At 54.9% G+C, this 14,998-nt stretch overlaps 1 protein-coding gene across 24 annotated transcripts in view, besides 1 other annotated feature; it reads right to left on the bottom strand.

The window, feature by feature from the left end:
• The window catches only part of CAMTA1 (calmodulin binding transcription activator 1), a 984,253-nt gene that overhangs the window by 306,174 nt on the left and 663,081 nt on the right, over positions 1-14,998 (bottom strand). The gene's annotated exons all lie outside the window — the stretch shown is intronic.
• Positions 5,487-6,154: an enhancer, noted in NCBI's record as "H3K4me1 hESC enhancer chr1:7517439-7518106 (GRCh37/hg19 assembly coordinates)". NCBI's record gives its function as "activates a minimal SCP1, AML or CMV promoter by ChIP-STARR-seq in primed H9 embryonic stem cells {active_cell/tissue: H9 hESC(primed)}" and the evidence as "EXISTENCE:reporter gene assay evidence [ECO:0000049][PMID:30033119]".

Below are 14,998 nucleotides of genomic sequence, written 5' to 3'. Positions count from 1 at the left end.
GTCTCTCAATCTCTTTCTCAGTCTCTTTCTTTCTCTCTCTCTCCATCTCTGCAGCTGTCTTGTCCTCTCTCTGTCTCTCTCCCATTTCCCCCATCTGTCTCTCCCCGTCTGTCTTTATTTCTCTCTCCGTTTCTGTATCTGTCTCTGTCTCTCCTGCTATCTCTCTCCATCTTTCTCTGTCTCTCTGTCTCTCCCTGTCTCTGTTTCCCTTGCCTGTCCCTGTCTCTGTGTCTGACACACACACACCCTCCATCCCTTTCCTTCCACCTCCCATGCCCTGCCTGGGGGAAGCCGCAGAGGATTCAGCAACTTACCCAAGGCGTCCTGAGCAGAGCATGCTTAGGGCATGGAGCCCCGGGGAGCAGATGGGGCCTGAAGGTCACAGCGGGCCACAGGGCAGCCCTCCCCGTGTCCCTGCTCACATGAACCCCCGGCCCCAGGAGGCCTTATGTGCCCACCTATAGGCTCTGCCGCACACAGTGCCATTCACCAGGACAACCTCCCTGTGCTGCCTCCGAAGACCCCGCTCAGCTGGAGTCCAGCTCAGGTCCCCCTCCAGGAGCCCCCGACCCAGTGGCCTAGGAGCAGACGCTGGGAACACTCATCAGAGCGAGACAGTGGGCACACGGGTGGAGGGAGGATGTGGACTCTGCCTCGGGTCATTTCACTCTTCACCTCTGCAGCCTCACCTCACCCATCCTGTGGGCTGGCAGACTTCCTGCTAAGAGTCAGAGAGCAGATGTGTCCAGCTTTGAGAGCCGGGTGGCCTCGGGGGTTACTAGGTCCCTGCCAGGGCAGGGGAGGAGCGGCAGGAGGAATGGGGTGGGGATGCATCCCAATCAAACTACCACGGACACAGAAATCTGAATTCAGATGATTTTCAAGTGTCATGAGTATTCTTCTTTTGGCTATTTTTCAACAATTAAAAAAAATGTAAAAGCTATTCTTACCTCACAGCTGTTCAAAAATAGGTAGTTAGGCCGGGTGTGGTGGTTCCTGCCTGTAATCCCAGCACTTTGGGAGGCCAATCACCTGAGGTCAGGAGTTCCAGACCAGCCTGGCCAACATGGCGAAACCCCATCTCTACTAAAAATACAAAAATTAGCCGGCGTGATGGCATGCACCTGTAGTCTCAGCTACGCAGGAGGCTGAGGCAGAAGAATTGCTTGAACCTGGGAGGTGGAGGTTGCAGTAAGGCAAGATTATGCCACTGCACTCCAGCCTGGGCAACAGAGTGAGACTCCATCTCAAAAAATAAAAAATAAAAATACCAGCTCCTTGGGAGGCTGAGGCAGGAGAATTGCTTGAACCCAGGAGGCGGAGGTTGTGGTGAGCCGAGATCACACCATTGCACTCCAGCCTGGGCAACAAGAGTGAAACTCTGTCTCAAAAATAAAATAAAAATAGGTAGTGGGCCGGATTTGGCCTATGGAGCATTGCTTGCTGACCTGTGACCTGTCAGGTTGGGACAAGTGTGGATTATATCGTCCTTCAAAAAATTCCCAATTTTAAATCACTGCTAGTGACATTCGCATAGCAGGTGCTCAATATGTGTGATTTCCTGTGCGCCCTTAGGCAGGGCAGGGAAGGGGAGCATGGCCCAGGCGTATGGGAGATCATGGACTGCATATGATACAGACACAAAGGAAACTGGAAATGTCTTTCCAATTGTACTTCGTTTGGGATGTTTGTTTTCTGGTCCTGAGTATGAGCATGCATGGCCCTTTTCCCCTGGAGGAACAAAATGACCCTAGAACTTCTAGTTGGTCTGCCATGAAGACCTTTTCTAGGGAAGCCCCTTTTATGCTGTTTCCTTGGGTCCACCTCCCACAAGGAGGCAGGGAACCCCCAGAAGCCAGGGCTTGCTGTTGACCTCCCATTCTGGGAAAATGTGAGGCCAGCATCTAATTTCATGGATCACTGGAAAAGACATCCTTGGCATTGCTCAACAGGTGTCTTTAAAGCTGGGCTATCTAACTTGGCAGCCACTAGTCACTGCGGCTGTTCGAATTCAAATTTAAATGAAGTAAAATTAAATCCAATCAAAGCTTCAGTTCCTCAGTTGCAGCAGCCACATTTCAAGTGCTCAACAGCCACATGTGGCCGAGGGCTACCACATTGGACAGCACAGCAATGGCAGAAAGTTATACCGATGCTCCCACGCTAGAGAACATGGGTTAGGGTCCAGTTCAGAGATGTTTGGCAAAGACACTGGGAGCTTGGGACCCCAGGGGCCACGATCTGGGGGAGTCAGGGCTTCAAGGGATGAGGACTTGGGGAGTCCGTATGCTTGAAGGTTGGCACCTGTTGTTCTACCTGGGCAGGCCTGAATCAACCAGGGAAGATTCCCCAGAGCCTTCTGTGCCTGTGATGGCAAAGCTCATTCCTGAGCTCCCCTCCCCTCTCTTCCCTAAAACCTTCTCTAATGCAAGGATAATACCCGCGGGGGCGGCAGACAGGGGTGTTTACCAGCAAATCTCCATCTATAATCCTCTTTTATGAGGGTCCCTCTGCTACCTCCTCTGCAAACAGCCCTGCCCCAGTCCTAGCAGCCAGGCCACCGGTAGGGGTCAGAGAGCACCACGTTAGGCTGGCTGTGGTGGCCTCCACACCACCACAGCCCCTGTGGCTGGCCCCAGAGACTCCACTGGGCCCATCTCTCTGCCGCTAGGGAAGTGGCTGTCTACACAAAGGCAATCAGAGAGAACATAGATTTTGTTGGTGCTTGGTTTATCACTCTTGCTTGTATCTGATGTACCCACGACAAAGATGAACAGTTTTTAAAATGTGTCCAGGGTATAAAGCTGATGGAAGAAAAGAGCTCATAGAAGGGAAGGGAAAATCCACCTAGAAGATGAGGGTTTAATGCTATCCTCAAGCAATGAGGGGACAGGAGCAGGTGAGAGGCAGAACTGGGGGCAGGCTGGGGTTGGGGGGGGCAGTCACAGCCTCCAGAACGGGGCATCCTGGACCAGCTGGGCCGTAGCTTGGACATCCAAGGAACGTGTGGGACCAGATCCCATGTGAGTAACTTTTCACTGCTGTCTGCTCTGTGCCTGCCTTGAGCTCTTGTCCTCCAGCCTCCCCCAGTCTCGTAGAGGAGAGAGATAGAGAGCGTGTACATGCCGGGCAAACACACGAGACCAAATCAAAGAGCCCTGTTGCTAAGGGCAGAGTACCGAGGGGGCAGGATCAGCCCGGAGGATGAAGTGTCCCCTTTTCATTCAAGGTCAGCAAAGTCACCTAAGAGGAAGTGACATTTGTGCTGAGCCAAAAAAGGTGAGAGGGAATTGGCCAGGTGGACAAAAGGGATGCAAAGCAGAGGGGCCGCCACGGGAGAGGACGGCGGGCCCCTCCCCAGCTCTCTCATCCGCGTCCCGCATGCGGGGTGAAGCTGCAGGGGCCGAGTGCATGACTCCACACACAGTTCTGCAGAATCTCCCCTAAGGGACCCACAGTGAGCGGCTGGCAGATGGCCTTGCCTTTGAAGCAAAGGCCCTGTGATTTTATGGCGCTGCCCTTCTCCACTGGTCCAGACTCTGTGTATTGAAGCAGATTTCCAGGAAGGACTCAGGATTGCTCTGAGAACTGATGGCTCAAGTGCAGGCTCAGGACTAGAACTTTGGCTCTGACCCGCTCACCATCCCATGTCTCCATTTCTCCTCTCTGTATGCCTTCCCTGCGCTGTTTCTCTCCCACTACAGTTGGGCTGACTTCATGTGGCACGTAGCCAGAGTCCCCTTCTTCCGGCTGTGACCCAAGAGGCAGGAAAGTCTCTCTCTTCCAGATTTGGGGTGACAGCACCAGGGAGGGACTTTGACTTACCTGGACTGCAAGCCCAGGACTGTCAGTGGGGTAGGGCAGCACCTGAGCAGGGGCCTGCAGCCTGGAGGGCAGATCTGTCAGCAGAAGCAGGGCCTGAGTGTGCTACGCTGATGTCCAAGGGCAGGGCTGTGGGGCTCACAGAAGGGGGTAAAAATGTGGTTCCTTTCCTGTCAAAGCCTAGACGTCAGGAAGAAGTAGGTGCTCCTCAAAGAGCAGGTGGGAGTGAAAACCTTCCAGCACTTTCCAGAGCTCCCTAACCAGCAGCAGGTACAGCAAGGCACAGGAGGAGGACCAAGCAGCCCTATTGCTCCCCAGGGTACCCTGAACGCAGACGCAGATCCTGGGAGGCCTTGGCAAGATCCTGTGTGGGGCAAGGAGAGGATGACATGGATTCCTCTTACCCTAGTTCTCTAGTTGCACAAGTGTCTTGCACAGAGGCATCTGTGGGGAAGACCAGAGCCTAGACAGGCTCAGCAGTTTGTCTAAGGTCACCCGGCTAGGAACAGGCAGAAGGATTCAAACAAGCGTCATCTGACCGCAAAGCCCTTGCTCCTTCCTCCCCAGCAGGCCACCCCCTGGTCCTCGCTCAGACACCCGTGCCATTGGCTGAGAGTCAGGTCTTCTTTGGGACCCGCCTTCATCAAAGACAATGAGATGAAGTCCTGGAGCTGCTCCCAAGACTGTCCTCGCTGAAGGATTTGGTTTGTATTAATCTAAGATTAGACCAAATGATTCAATTCACATATTGCCTGCAAAAGCATGGCGCCTCAGAACTTGTTAAATAGTGAATTGCTTTAAAACGAGTTTGAGCTAAATGGATTGCAGTCTGATTCAGCCTCCAGGGTTGGGTCACAGCAGAGATTTGGAATATTAGATCGTCATTGACCAGGGCTCTAGCCTGGCCTCTTTCCTAAGACAATCTGCAATGGTGTCTCCCAAAGCAGCTTGTGGCCCTGCCACGCCAGGGGACTGAGGCCAGACAGCAAGAGGGCTGGCCTGGATCCCCAAACCCTGATGCCTTCAGGTTATGAAGTCAGGTGCCGGCCACAGCTCAGGCCCAGGCTCCCCAAGTGGGACTAGAGGCTCTCCTGAAAACAGCCCCTTAACACTGCACTTTCTTGGGGGACTCCTCTGGGCAGGGGCGGGAAGGCTCCCCAAAATTCATTCTCCAGGGCTCCCTGGGAGAGTAGCCGTCCCTTGGCTTGGCATTCTGGCTGGTCCTGTCCTTCCACAATGTTAAATCACTCTTTCTGCCATAGTGGACACAGGAGGATGAGGAAGGGTAGCCCTTCCAGGGACCTCACCACCCTCCTGGAAGGAAGAGTAGTATGAATCCCTCTCTGCAGATGTGGGAACTGCAGCTCAGAGGCATCAATTCCTTCCTTGGCAGAGGTCACAGGGGCATGATAAAGCTAGAATCTGAACTCCAGTCCCCTGGCCGGCAAAGCCTGCAGGAGTTAACCCCGTCTCCCTCATCAGAAGCCCTGGTGCACACCCTGGAGGGACACAGGGGACCAGGTGGCCCAGTCTGGCCATGAAGGTTGGTTCCTTTGAGATGGAGGCGATTGAAGAGCAGATAGAAACCAGGAACGGCAGCAAACGTCAAAAAGCTGGCCACCCGCCACCCCCTAGTCCCCACCCCCAGACAGGAAGCTGGTGAGGGAAACAGCCAGAAGAACCAGGCAGCGCCAGGCAGGCGCAGGACACGTGGGCGCCCCACCCCATCATGAGGCAGAAAGTGCCTGCGGGCCTCTGGCCGTGGGGGACAGGACAGACTCCTCCCCTGGGTATCTGGGTCGGCCGGAGCTCCGCGGAAGGGGGATCCTTGGGCAGGCAGAGAGCACCAAGAAGACCCGCCAGGTGGGGACCCTGGAGACCCCAGAGCTCTGCTCAGGAGGGAGGACAGGTGTGCCGTCGAATGGGGAACAGGAAGGAGGGCCCCTCGGTCTGGATGAAGACCAGTGAGAAACTCTGCAGGGGGGTCATGGAGAGAGGGACACTGGGTCTTCAAGCTGGAGGCTCCCCCAGCCTCTCTGAGGAATGTTCTAGATTGCTTTTGCAGCATAGGCCCTTTTGCAAGCTGGAAGGCAAAATGGGAGCAGAGGTAAGAGTCGCGGAGAACAGTGTGTGCTCCAGAAAGGAACCAGGGAGGTGTGCAGCCTGGCCCGGGGACACTGAGGGGCATGGGACACAGCCTGGCCCGGGGACACTGAGGGGCAGGGGACCTAACCTAGTAGTCCCCTAGGAGGCTGGCACCCGTGCCTCTGCCCCCACCCACCTCCCCTCACCTGAGCTCCTTCCTGTTGGGGCCCCCAAGTATCTGCAGGGGAAACATCTAAATAAAGCGGCCGCCGGCCTAACGACGACATGAGTGAGGAGGGCAATAAAAATTCAATGAATTTTTAGATAAAAAGCCATAAAAATCATGTTGAAAGATATAAATAAAATATCTGGAGCTTCAGCTTTATTGTTTTTGGGGGTTCCAAGATTAATAAATTAGTGGGCATAAAATGGAATAATAGCTAAAAATTGATAATAAGGTAAATTTAGATTTAGAGAAAGAGTTGATCCAAGTCATGAATCTCAAGTCAGAGAAGGCCAGGGGTGGGTGAGGGGCACGTTGGCGCAGGGGGCGGGTGAGGGGCACGGCGGCGCAGGGGGCGGGGCGGGTGAGGGGAAATGGAAGGGAGGGAGGAAGAATGGGAGGGAGGAGGAACGGGAGGGCGGCGCCGAACTCTGCTGGGCCTCGCTCCACTCTCCACATGGGCTGCTCCCATCTGGGCCTTGCTGCACGCTCCACATGGGCTGTTCTCGTCAGCTCTAGCGCCTGCTGCTTAGGGTCACGTCCAGGAACCTGGCCACTCTCACCTGCCTGTTTTCCCACCCTCTGAGGACGTTCAGCCAGGCCCACATGGGCCCCTGCTGTGTCCCAGCACCTGCCAAACCGCTTTGGGGAAGGCAGCCCAGCTCCTCACCCTGCACAGGCCCAGCCAAGCGGGAGCTGGAGACCTGCACCTTTCGTGTCTCAGAAATCTGTCCTGATACCTGGCTCCCTGCGGGCCCCAGCAAAGAACAGGCTTTCTCTGAGCTGGGTGTGCCAGGCTGCTGGGATCTGCGGTCCTGTCATCAGCAGGAGCTCTGCTCAGTGTACGTGTATATTCTTGCTCAGTTATCTCCCACCCACTGGCTCTTGTTCTTTTAGCCTATTTCAATGTATCAGTGCTGTTGCTATCTCAAATACTTCCTAAAAGTACTGGGCATAAATAATATATAAATAAAGTGAAATTCCCTCTCTTTCATCAAAATGTACCGCTGAGACCTATTTCTTGGAGCCCTGCCAAGTGGCTAGAGCTGGTCTCCAGAGTGGTGTATACTGGTGATGGCCTGCCTTCCTCCTTCCCGCTCCCTGTCCTTCCTCCCTCCCATTCTTCTTGCCTCCCTGCCCCCCTTCCTCCCTTCCTCCCTCCCTCCTTCTCTCCCTCCCTCTCTCCCATTCTTCCTCCCTCCCTCCCATTTTTCCTCCCTCCCTTCCATCTCCCTCCCTCCCTTCCTCCATCCCTCTGTTATGGGTACCCCCTCACCCTTCACCAGGTCTGCCTGCATTAAGCACAAGGGATCTCTGACGAATGCCTGCAAGTAGCTCTGGGTCTGATGTGTTCCTTATCAACAGCCTGTTAGGCCAGCAGGGGTGTTGTGTATTTCAGCCTCAGGGATGACCAACGGTGGGACCCTGAGCCTTGGTAAGGAGGCTCAGGCTGTACCCTCTGGCGCTGGGAGCTTCGGCTACACAGCCCCAGGTGGCCGGCCTTTCTCTCTACTCATCTGCCATTCCCAGAGGAGAGCAGATGCAGATGCCAGGAGCCCACTCCCCGAGGCCATTCTGGACGGCACGGAGGGCCAAGTGCTGCCCAGAAATCAGTGGCTCTCTTCTCCTGTGGGCAGGCGTCTGCGGGGCTGGCACTGCCGGGATTCCTGGCTGTGGTTACTACTCAGCTCCAGAGCCTGCTGGCATCCAGCTCCCCAGCGCCGCCCGCTCTAGGCACCTGTGACGCCACGTAGGTATCCACGGCACACTCCAACATGTGCGGCTGCATGTGGCCAGGGAGTCTGGGCAGGGATTCTTGCTTAAAACGGACAACAGGGTTTTGCTTATGAAGCAGGTGGAGGGAAACGCCGGGCCGGTCTGTGGCTATGTTAATGCAAGGCTGAGCTGTCTGCCAGGACATTAAGAGGAGTTGGATTCCTGAAACCAGCTTTCATCAGCAGATTTTTAAGGTTAGAATTACTCTCTCCTCTTGAAGGCTTGCCAAGGTTAATTCGGCCTGAGCATGCAGAATTAATGGGCTGGGCAGAGGGAATCGGCCTTTTCCCGATTTTTTCTCAAGTTCACGAAAACATCTCTACAAAAGAGAGCAGACAGCAGGGCGGCATCAGGCCTTCCACCTGGGAGCCAGTGTCGGAAACACACACGCAGAACCATGCCGAGCCGCGGCTCCTGCACTAGAGAAGCAGGAGGGATGGGCAGCATGTCTTGTCCTGGAACAGACTTAGCAGGGTCTGCACAGCAGCGCCCCTTCCCCTGAAAACAAATGTGCCTCAAACACCTGCAGATGCGCTGCCCCAGCCAGGCCGGCCCTGGATGCCCCCAGGGCCCTGAGTGCATCGGAACCTCCGAGGCTCTGGCACGGAGCAGGGGGATGAACCCCAGCTGAATCACTCAGTCTCACTGAGCCCTGACTTCATCATCTGCAGAATGAAAATAATAGTAATGGTGAGACTTCAATAATAACTGCTGATAAAATAAGTCTGCAGTTTAGCAGAAAGAAGGGCTGCACTGTGAGCGCTCTGGGATCTCGGGCAGAGGAGAAGCCAACCTTCCTTTAACACAGGGACTGAGGAACTTTGCCCCTTGCAGGAAGAGGTAATGTCCCCAGGGAGCTCTGCACCCTCAGACCCAGGCTGACTGAGGCCTCCCGCCCAGCACTGCTGTCCAGGCCTCAGACCCTCAGGAGGAGAGAGCTGAGTAGGACGAAGCGGGGGTAGAGGCCCCTTCCTATCCTCCCTGATCAGGCAGAGAAACTCACTCGGTCCTCCTGGATGGAGGTCGGGGTGCCTGGCCTTGGGCCTGGGGTGCCTGGTGGAAGTTTGGGCACTAAGCCAGACTTGGGTTTGAAACTCGCCTGCACATCTTAGCAGCACTGATGACTGTGGGCCAGTGGCCGCGACACTGAATCACAATGTCCTCATTAGTAGGGAGGGGATGAAGGATGACCCTGATCTTGCAGGTTTGTTGGATTAAATGACAATACGTTTGCAGTGACTGGCACATAAAAGGTCTTCGATAAACACAAACCTCCTCAGTTTCCCCAGACACGGGGCACTCTGTCCCCTGCCTGCCCATCTCTTGATTACAGCAGGATCCTCCTAATAGCTCCCCATGGCTCAGGCGGCCACCTAGTGGGGACTCCCGCCCAGGAAGTGTGAGGCGAGGTCGCCTCTGCCATTTCCTCTCTCCTCAGCTTCCTCAAGGAGTCCGGGCTGTTTTAAAATAAACGGCAGCTTCCAAGGACTCGAGAGCCCTGCCCAAGTGCAAACAGAAAGGGGGACAGAGTCAGAGCTCCCCTCGGGGACATAAGCTCTGGGATCCCCTCCCCACTGGATGAGCACAGGGACCTCCTTTTATAAAAATGTCAGATCCTCCCTGGTTCCGCTCAGGTCTCCCCTGAAATTCCCAGCTCTCTTCAGAACCAACCACATAGGTCTTAACCCAACACGCCTGCTGCAGCTCACCACAGTGGATGCACCTCCAGGTCCCCGGGCTGCTGCGGGGGGCCGGGTCCCAGCATGAGTGAGCAAAGACTCCACAGCAGCTCCAAGGAAAGTGGGAACCCCACCGTCCCTTTCCTTCCCTCCCTCAGGGGGGTCTTTTGTCTGCCACAGCCACCCCTTCTTCTGCCTAAGGGTCAGCTCTCTAGGCCTTGCCTCCTACTGAGGAGAGAGCAGGGAAGGCCAATGGGACCAGCCTGTTGCCTGCAACATGGCTTTTATGGCCAGTACCACCTTTGTGCCATCTGCCCACATGTCCCCCTCCAGGGACAGGTGCAGGGCAGCCTTCCCCCAGGACTTGGGGGGACCAGGGAAGGCCTGTTTGGCTCAGAGCTGGGGGTTCCAGCATAGTGCCTAGAACTATTTCATCCGGACATAAAATGCTAAAAGGGCTGCCTTCTCTGTGGAAAGGCCTGGAAGGATTGGTGGAGGAATTTCCTTCCTGATTAGTGGTTCCTAGATTTGGGGTCCAGGAGTATAGAGATCTAGGCACCTGGACAGACTGCTGGAAGCTGTCAGGCCCACCCCTGACTCTGCAGATAATGACAGTGGGGAGGGAGGTGCAGGGAGAGGGGGACCTGCCCAAAGCCACAGTCACCCCGTGTGGCTCATTCTGGGCCATGTGCTTTCTGGGCCAGCCTCCTCCCGTGAACCTCCCAGGCTGGGGAACCCAGGCTGCCGCTGGACACGATTCCACATTTATGCTTCAGGGACGAAGCCAAAAGAAGGTTCTGCCACCAGATGCTGCTGGGAGCTCGGACTCTCCAAAGCTTCCCCTAGGGTCCTCCTGTCCCAGCAGCAGCTTTGCTGCCTCACATGGGCTGAGAGCAGGCCAGGAGGTCCTGGGGGCTGGGATGGGGTCTTATTTCATCTGTGTTTCCTTGGAGTCTAGTTAGTCAACTGGAAGCCGATTCAAGAACCTCGTTTGAACTTCATAGAGAAACTGTGGCCCATTCCTCAAAAAGTTAAACATAGGATTAGCATACAACCCAGCCATTCCACTCCTAGGTAACTGCCCAAAAGAACTGAAAACAGACTCAAACAGGTACCTGCACACACATATCTACAGTGGCACACTTCACACAAGGCAGGAACAGCCTACATGCCCATCGGCAGAGGAAGAGGTAAGCAAATGTGGGCTCGCCATACAATGGAACGTTATCCACCCCGAGAGGGGAACCAAGAGCTGACATGCGCCACAACATGGATGAACCTTGAAAACAGACTCACTGAAAGAAGCCAGGCACAGAAGGCCACACATTGTATGATTCCATTCCTAGGAAACATTCTGAAGAGGTCAACCTATAGGGTCAGAATGCAGATTGGTGGTCGCTAGAGGCAGAGGGAGGGAAGAAGGGGGAACGGCTGCTAATGCATTGGGAGTTTCCCTTTGGGGTGATGAAAGTGTTTTGGAACAAGATAGTGGTGATGACGGTACAACACTGTAAATGTACTAATGCTTCTGAATTGCTGACTTTAAAAAGTTAATTTTGCATTATGTGAATCTGACCAAAATGAAAACAAACAAAAAGAAACCGTGGCCCAGGCACAGACAAGGGCCAGGGATTCCACTCTGTCCAGTCCCTGGGGAAGCTGCCTCAGCACACACACCCTCCTGGCAGGGCGGAGGGGGGCCTGGAGAGGAACCAGGGGGGATGCAGGAGACACAGACCCCCCGTGAGTCTATCTGTTCAACTGACAAGTTTGCCGAGCACCTATTATATTCCAGGCCCCATTCGAGGTGCTGAAATTTGATGGGGAACCAGGCAAAGTTTGTCCTGCCCTTGAGGCCTCCAGTTTAGAGGGGGGTTAGCCCCCCGGCCTGGTGTTCTGTGTAGCCTAGCCCAGTGAGCCTGAGGTCCAAACCTCAGCACTGCGGCTGGGAGCTGCCTGCCTCTTGTGTCCCCTCCATATTAGCTTCTAAGGGGCCCACCTGCCCAATGAGGCTGCTGACTCCTTGTGGGCATGAACTTGACCTTTCATGTATTTCTGCATCCCTGGGTCTGCACACGCGGCCCAGCAGAGCTACTGGACAATGGTGTGTTGCTGGGACCCAGCTCAGAGGAAACCAGGGGAGCTGAGGGCAGGGAGCCAATAGCCCTTCTGGTTGGGTGAGAACCCTCTGGAGCTCTGAGGGCTGAGGTTCTGCCCAAACTCAGCTGTGGACTCCAGGCCTCACAGGGAGCAGCCACAGAGAACGTGCTCAGTGATGGTTCATTGACAGGAGGAAGGGAGGCCTCCCTGTCCATTCTAAGGGTTCTCAGGGAGAGGCTAGGCTTCAAGTTCCCCACCACCTCCCCAACCTGACACAGCACTTGGCACACAGTGCGTATTCTGGTAAAGCTCAGGGGGCTAAGGACTCAAGGTGGAAAGGTGGCTCAGGAGGGACCTGGGGCTTCGGAGAGCAGGGATGGGGCGAGCTGACTCATCCCTCATCCCCCAGGCAGAGCTGTGACCCTCCGTAGGCAGTGCCGCAGTGGCGAGGGCGGCCACCTGGCCACAGTAGGAGGGAGATCCCTGCACCAGGTAAAGCCTGGGGGCTGAGCTGCCTGGGGCCATCCAGGCAGCTGCAGAGCTCAGTGCACTGATCTGGAGCCCTGGAAATCCGCTTTCCAAAACCCCTCCCGGTAGGTTCTGAGCAGCTCCCCAGCAAGAAGTGCAATCTGCAGATGAGAACATCATGCAAATGGCTGTCAACTGGAGTCAGGGACGGGGAGAGATGGGGCTGGCTCAGTGCTTTAATGGGACCAGGCAGGAGGTTTGCTCTCTGGACCTGGAGCCTCAGCAGGGTCTGGGGCCTCAGCAACATGTACATAAGTCTCTAGCTGAAGAGCCTACATCTATTAATGCAGTGCCCTGCCTGGGCCTCTGTAATTACACCTGCTTCTCCCGAGCTAACACCTTCGCCGACCTCCCCGGGGAAATAACAGATTGTCCTGCAGCCTCTAGGATGATCCTCCTGGGGGTGGAAGGGAGGAATCAGTTCTTAACAGTAAGATGAGATGCCCTGCATTTAGCTGCTCTCTCTGCCCCAATAGAGGGGCTCTCACCCTCGGTCCTGCATTTTATCTGCCTTGTGATGGGTCCGCGGGCTCCAGAAAGAGAGAATGCAGTATTTTAAAGTGTGTAATGACATGCAGGCTGCATGTGGTACAAATTTCCTGGATGTATAAAATGGGAAAGAAACAGGTTTTCTGTCACCTGCAACTATCCAGCAGTGTTAAAATATGACTCGTTGGAATCCAATGTGCTGCTAACCTGCACGGGGCGGTATTGAATCTTGCAGGCAGAGCGGGCAGGCGGTGGGGCCTGCAGCCCCGGGCACCTGTGGTTAATTCAATCCCACCTGTCTCTACTTCTGCATCTGGTCTGCTTACAAGGTGTGAAAGCTGCAGAGGCCCCTTCCATCCCCTCCCCTCCAGCAGAGGTGGGTGGAGGTGGCAGGGCGCCTGCTTTCCTTCTTGTGGCTGCTCATAATGGAAATCCTTTGCCTGATGCCACACTTTCTGTGTTCTGGATTTTTAGGGAAGTCTCCCCAGGTTGTCTCACTGAGCTGTTGTATCTCTGGGCCACTGTTGCCTAAGGTAGTGTCTTCACTGGCTGGCTGATGGGCACCCATCCTCACTTTTGGTCCTTACAACAACCTTCAAGGAGGAGGGAATTAGCACATCCTCTTTCAGGATGGAGTATCAAGCCTTGGAGAGGCTCAGGACTTGTACACATTCCACAGGGATTCAGACCCATGGCTTGCGGGATGGTGGCCTCCAAGTTGGTGCCTGCAGTCCCCAAGGGGGCCGCATCCCTGCTGGGCTGGCTGGTGGGGCTTCATCCTGGGCCTCATCTCTCCAAGCAGGACACCAGGCCCTAAGGGTAACATGATGGCAGTGCCAGAATTCAAACCCTGCCCCTCTCCTCCCTCCTACCCCCAAGCCACCTGGTGGTCTTGTTGCGAAGTGTGGTATCAAACGCCTTTCTCCCCTGGGGGCTGCATGGAGCAAGGAGTCAGGCTCATACTCCTCGGGGGCTGCTCTGAGTCCCTGCCGTTCCACTGAGTACTGGGCCCCAGTACTTTCTTTTCTTTTTTCTTTCTTTCTTTTTTTTTTTTTTTTTTTGAGACCGAGTCTTGCTCTGTTGCCCAGACTGGAGTGTAGTGGCACTATTTCGGCTCACTGCAACCTCCACCTCCCAGGTTCAAGTGATTCTCCTGCCCCAGCCTCCCAAGTAGCTGGGATTACAGACATGCACCATGACGCCCAGCTAATTTTTGTATTTTCAGTAGAGATGGGGTTTCACCATGTTGGCCAGGCTGGTGTTGAACTCCTGTCCTCAATTGATCCGCCCGCCTTGGCCTTCCAAAGTGCTGGGATTATAGGGCTGGGCCACTGCCCTGGCCCTCATTCCTATCTTCTAGGTGAGATAACTGAGGCCCTTGGAAAAGACGAGGTCAGAGGGCTCTGACTCCTGGATCCCACACGCTGCCAGCATCCTTGCCTACCCTGGTGGGAGCTGCTCTGCCTGGCCCGGTGGTCTTAGACTGCTTCTGACTTCTCTGATGAGAGTTAGAGACCTCGTGTCAGAAAAATGTTGCTTGGCCCACGCACACCACGTTGGGTGCAGCTTCGCTGGGTTAAGAAGCCCTAGCCCCATCCTGACAAATGTCTAGGCCTACATCTCCTCGCTTTATCAGCCTTGTGGTTTGTCTAGAATCCAGACACAGCCCATGCTCCCAGGGTCAGCTTCTTCTTTCTTTGCTGTTTTCCTTAAGAATGTGCAAACCGCCAGCCACCCTTCCTGCTCGGCAGTGGCCCCCAGCAGCTGCCCAGGCCTCCAGCCCATGGCGCCCCACAGACCATGTTGGTATCAATGTTCACGACAGGTTATTGTTTGTTTTGGGAAACATTTTGCTTCTGTACCTTGGAGCCATTTCCACCTGTGTGTGCAAAACAGCCTGGATCGCTGCCTCAGAGCAAGCAGGCAGTGCTGCTGGGCGCCCACAGAGGGGCCTGCAATGTCTGAATGTTTTTGTGTCCCCAAATTCATATGCTGAAATCCTGACCCCGAGGAGATGGGATTAGGAGGTGGGGCCTTTGGGAAGTGATGAAGTCATGGGGACAGAGCCCTTGTGCATGGGATTAGTGTCCTTATAAAAAGAGGCTGGAGGGAGACCCCTGCCTCTTCTACCACGTAAGGACGCAGCAAGAAGGCACGGTCTATGAACCAGGAAGAAGGCCCTCACCAGATACCGAACCTGCTGGTACCTTGATCTTGGACTTCCAGCCTCCTGAACTCTGGGAAATAAATCTCTGTTTTTTATACGCCACCTAGTCTATAGATTGTGTTATAGCAG

Source organism: Homo sapiens, chromosome 1 (genome assembly GCF_000001405.40).
Source record: "Homo sapiens chromosome 1, GRCh38.p14 Primary Assembly".
In the NCBI taxonomy this organism is placed as follows: domain Eukaryota; kingdom Metazoa; phylum Chordata; class Mammalia; order Primates; family Hominidae; genus Homo; species Homo sapiens.
The sequence above is the reverse complement of the archived record's forward strand: the minus strand, read 5'-3'. Positions and strand labels throughout refer to the sequence as shown.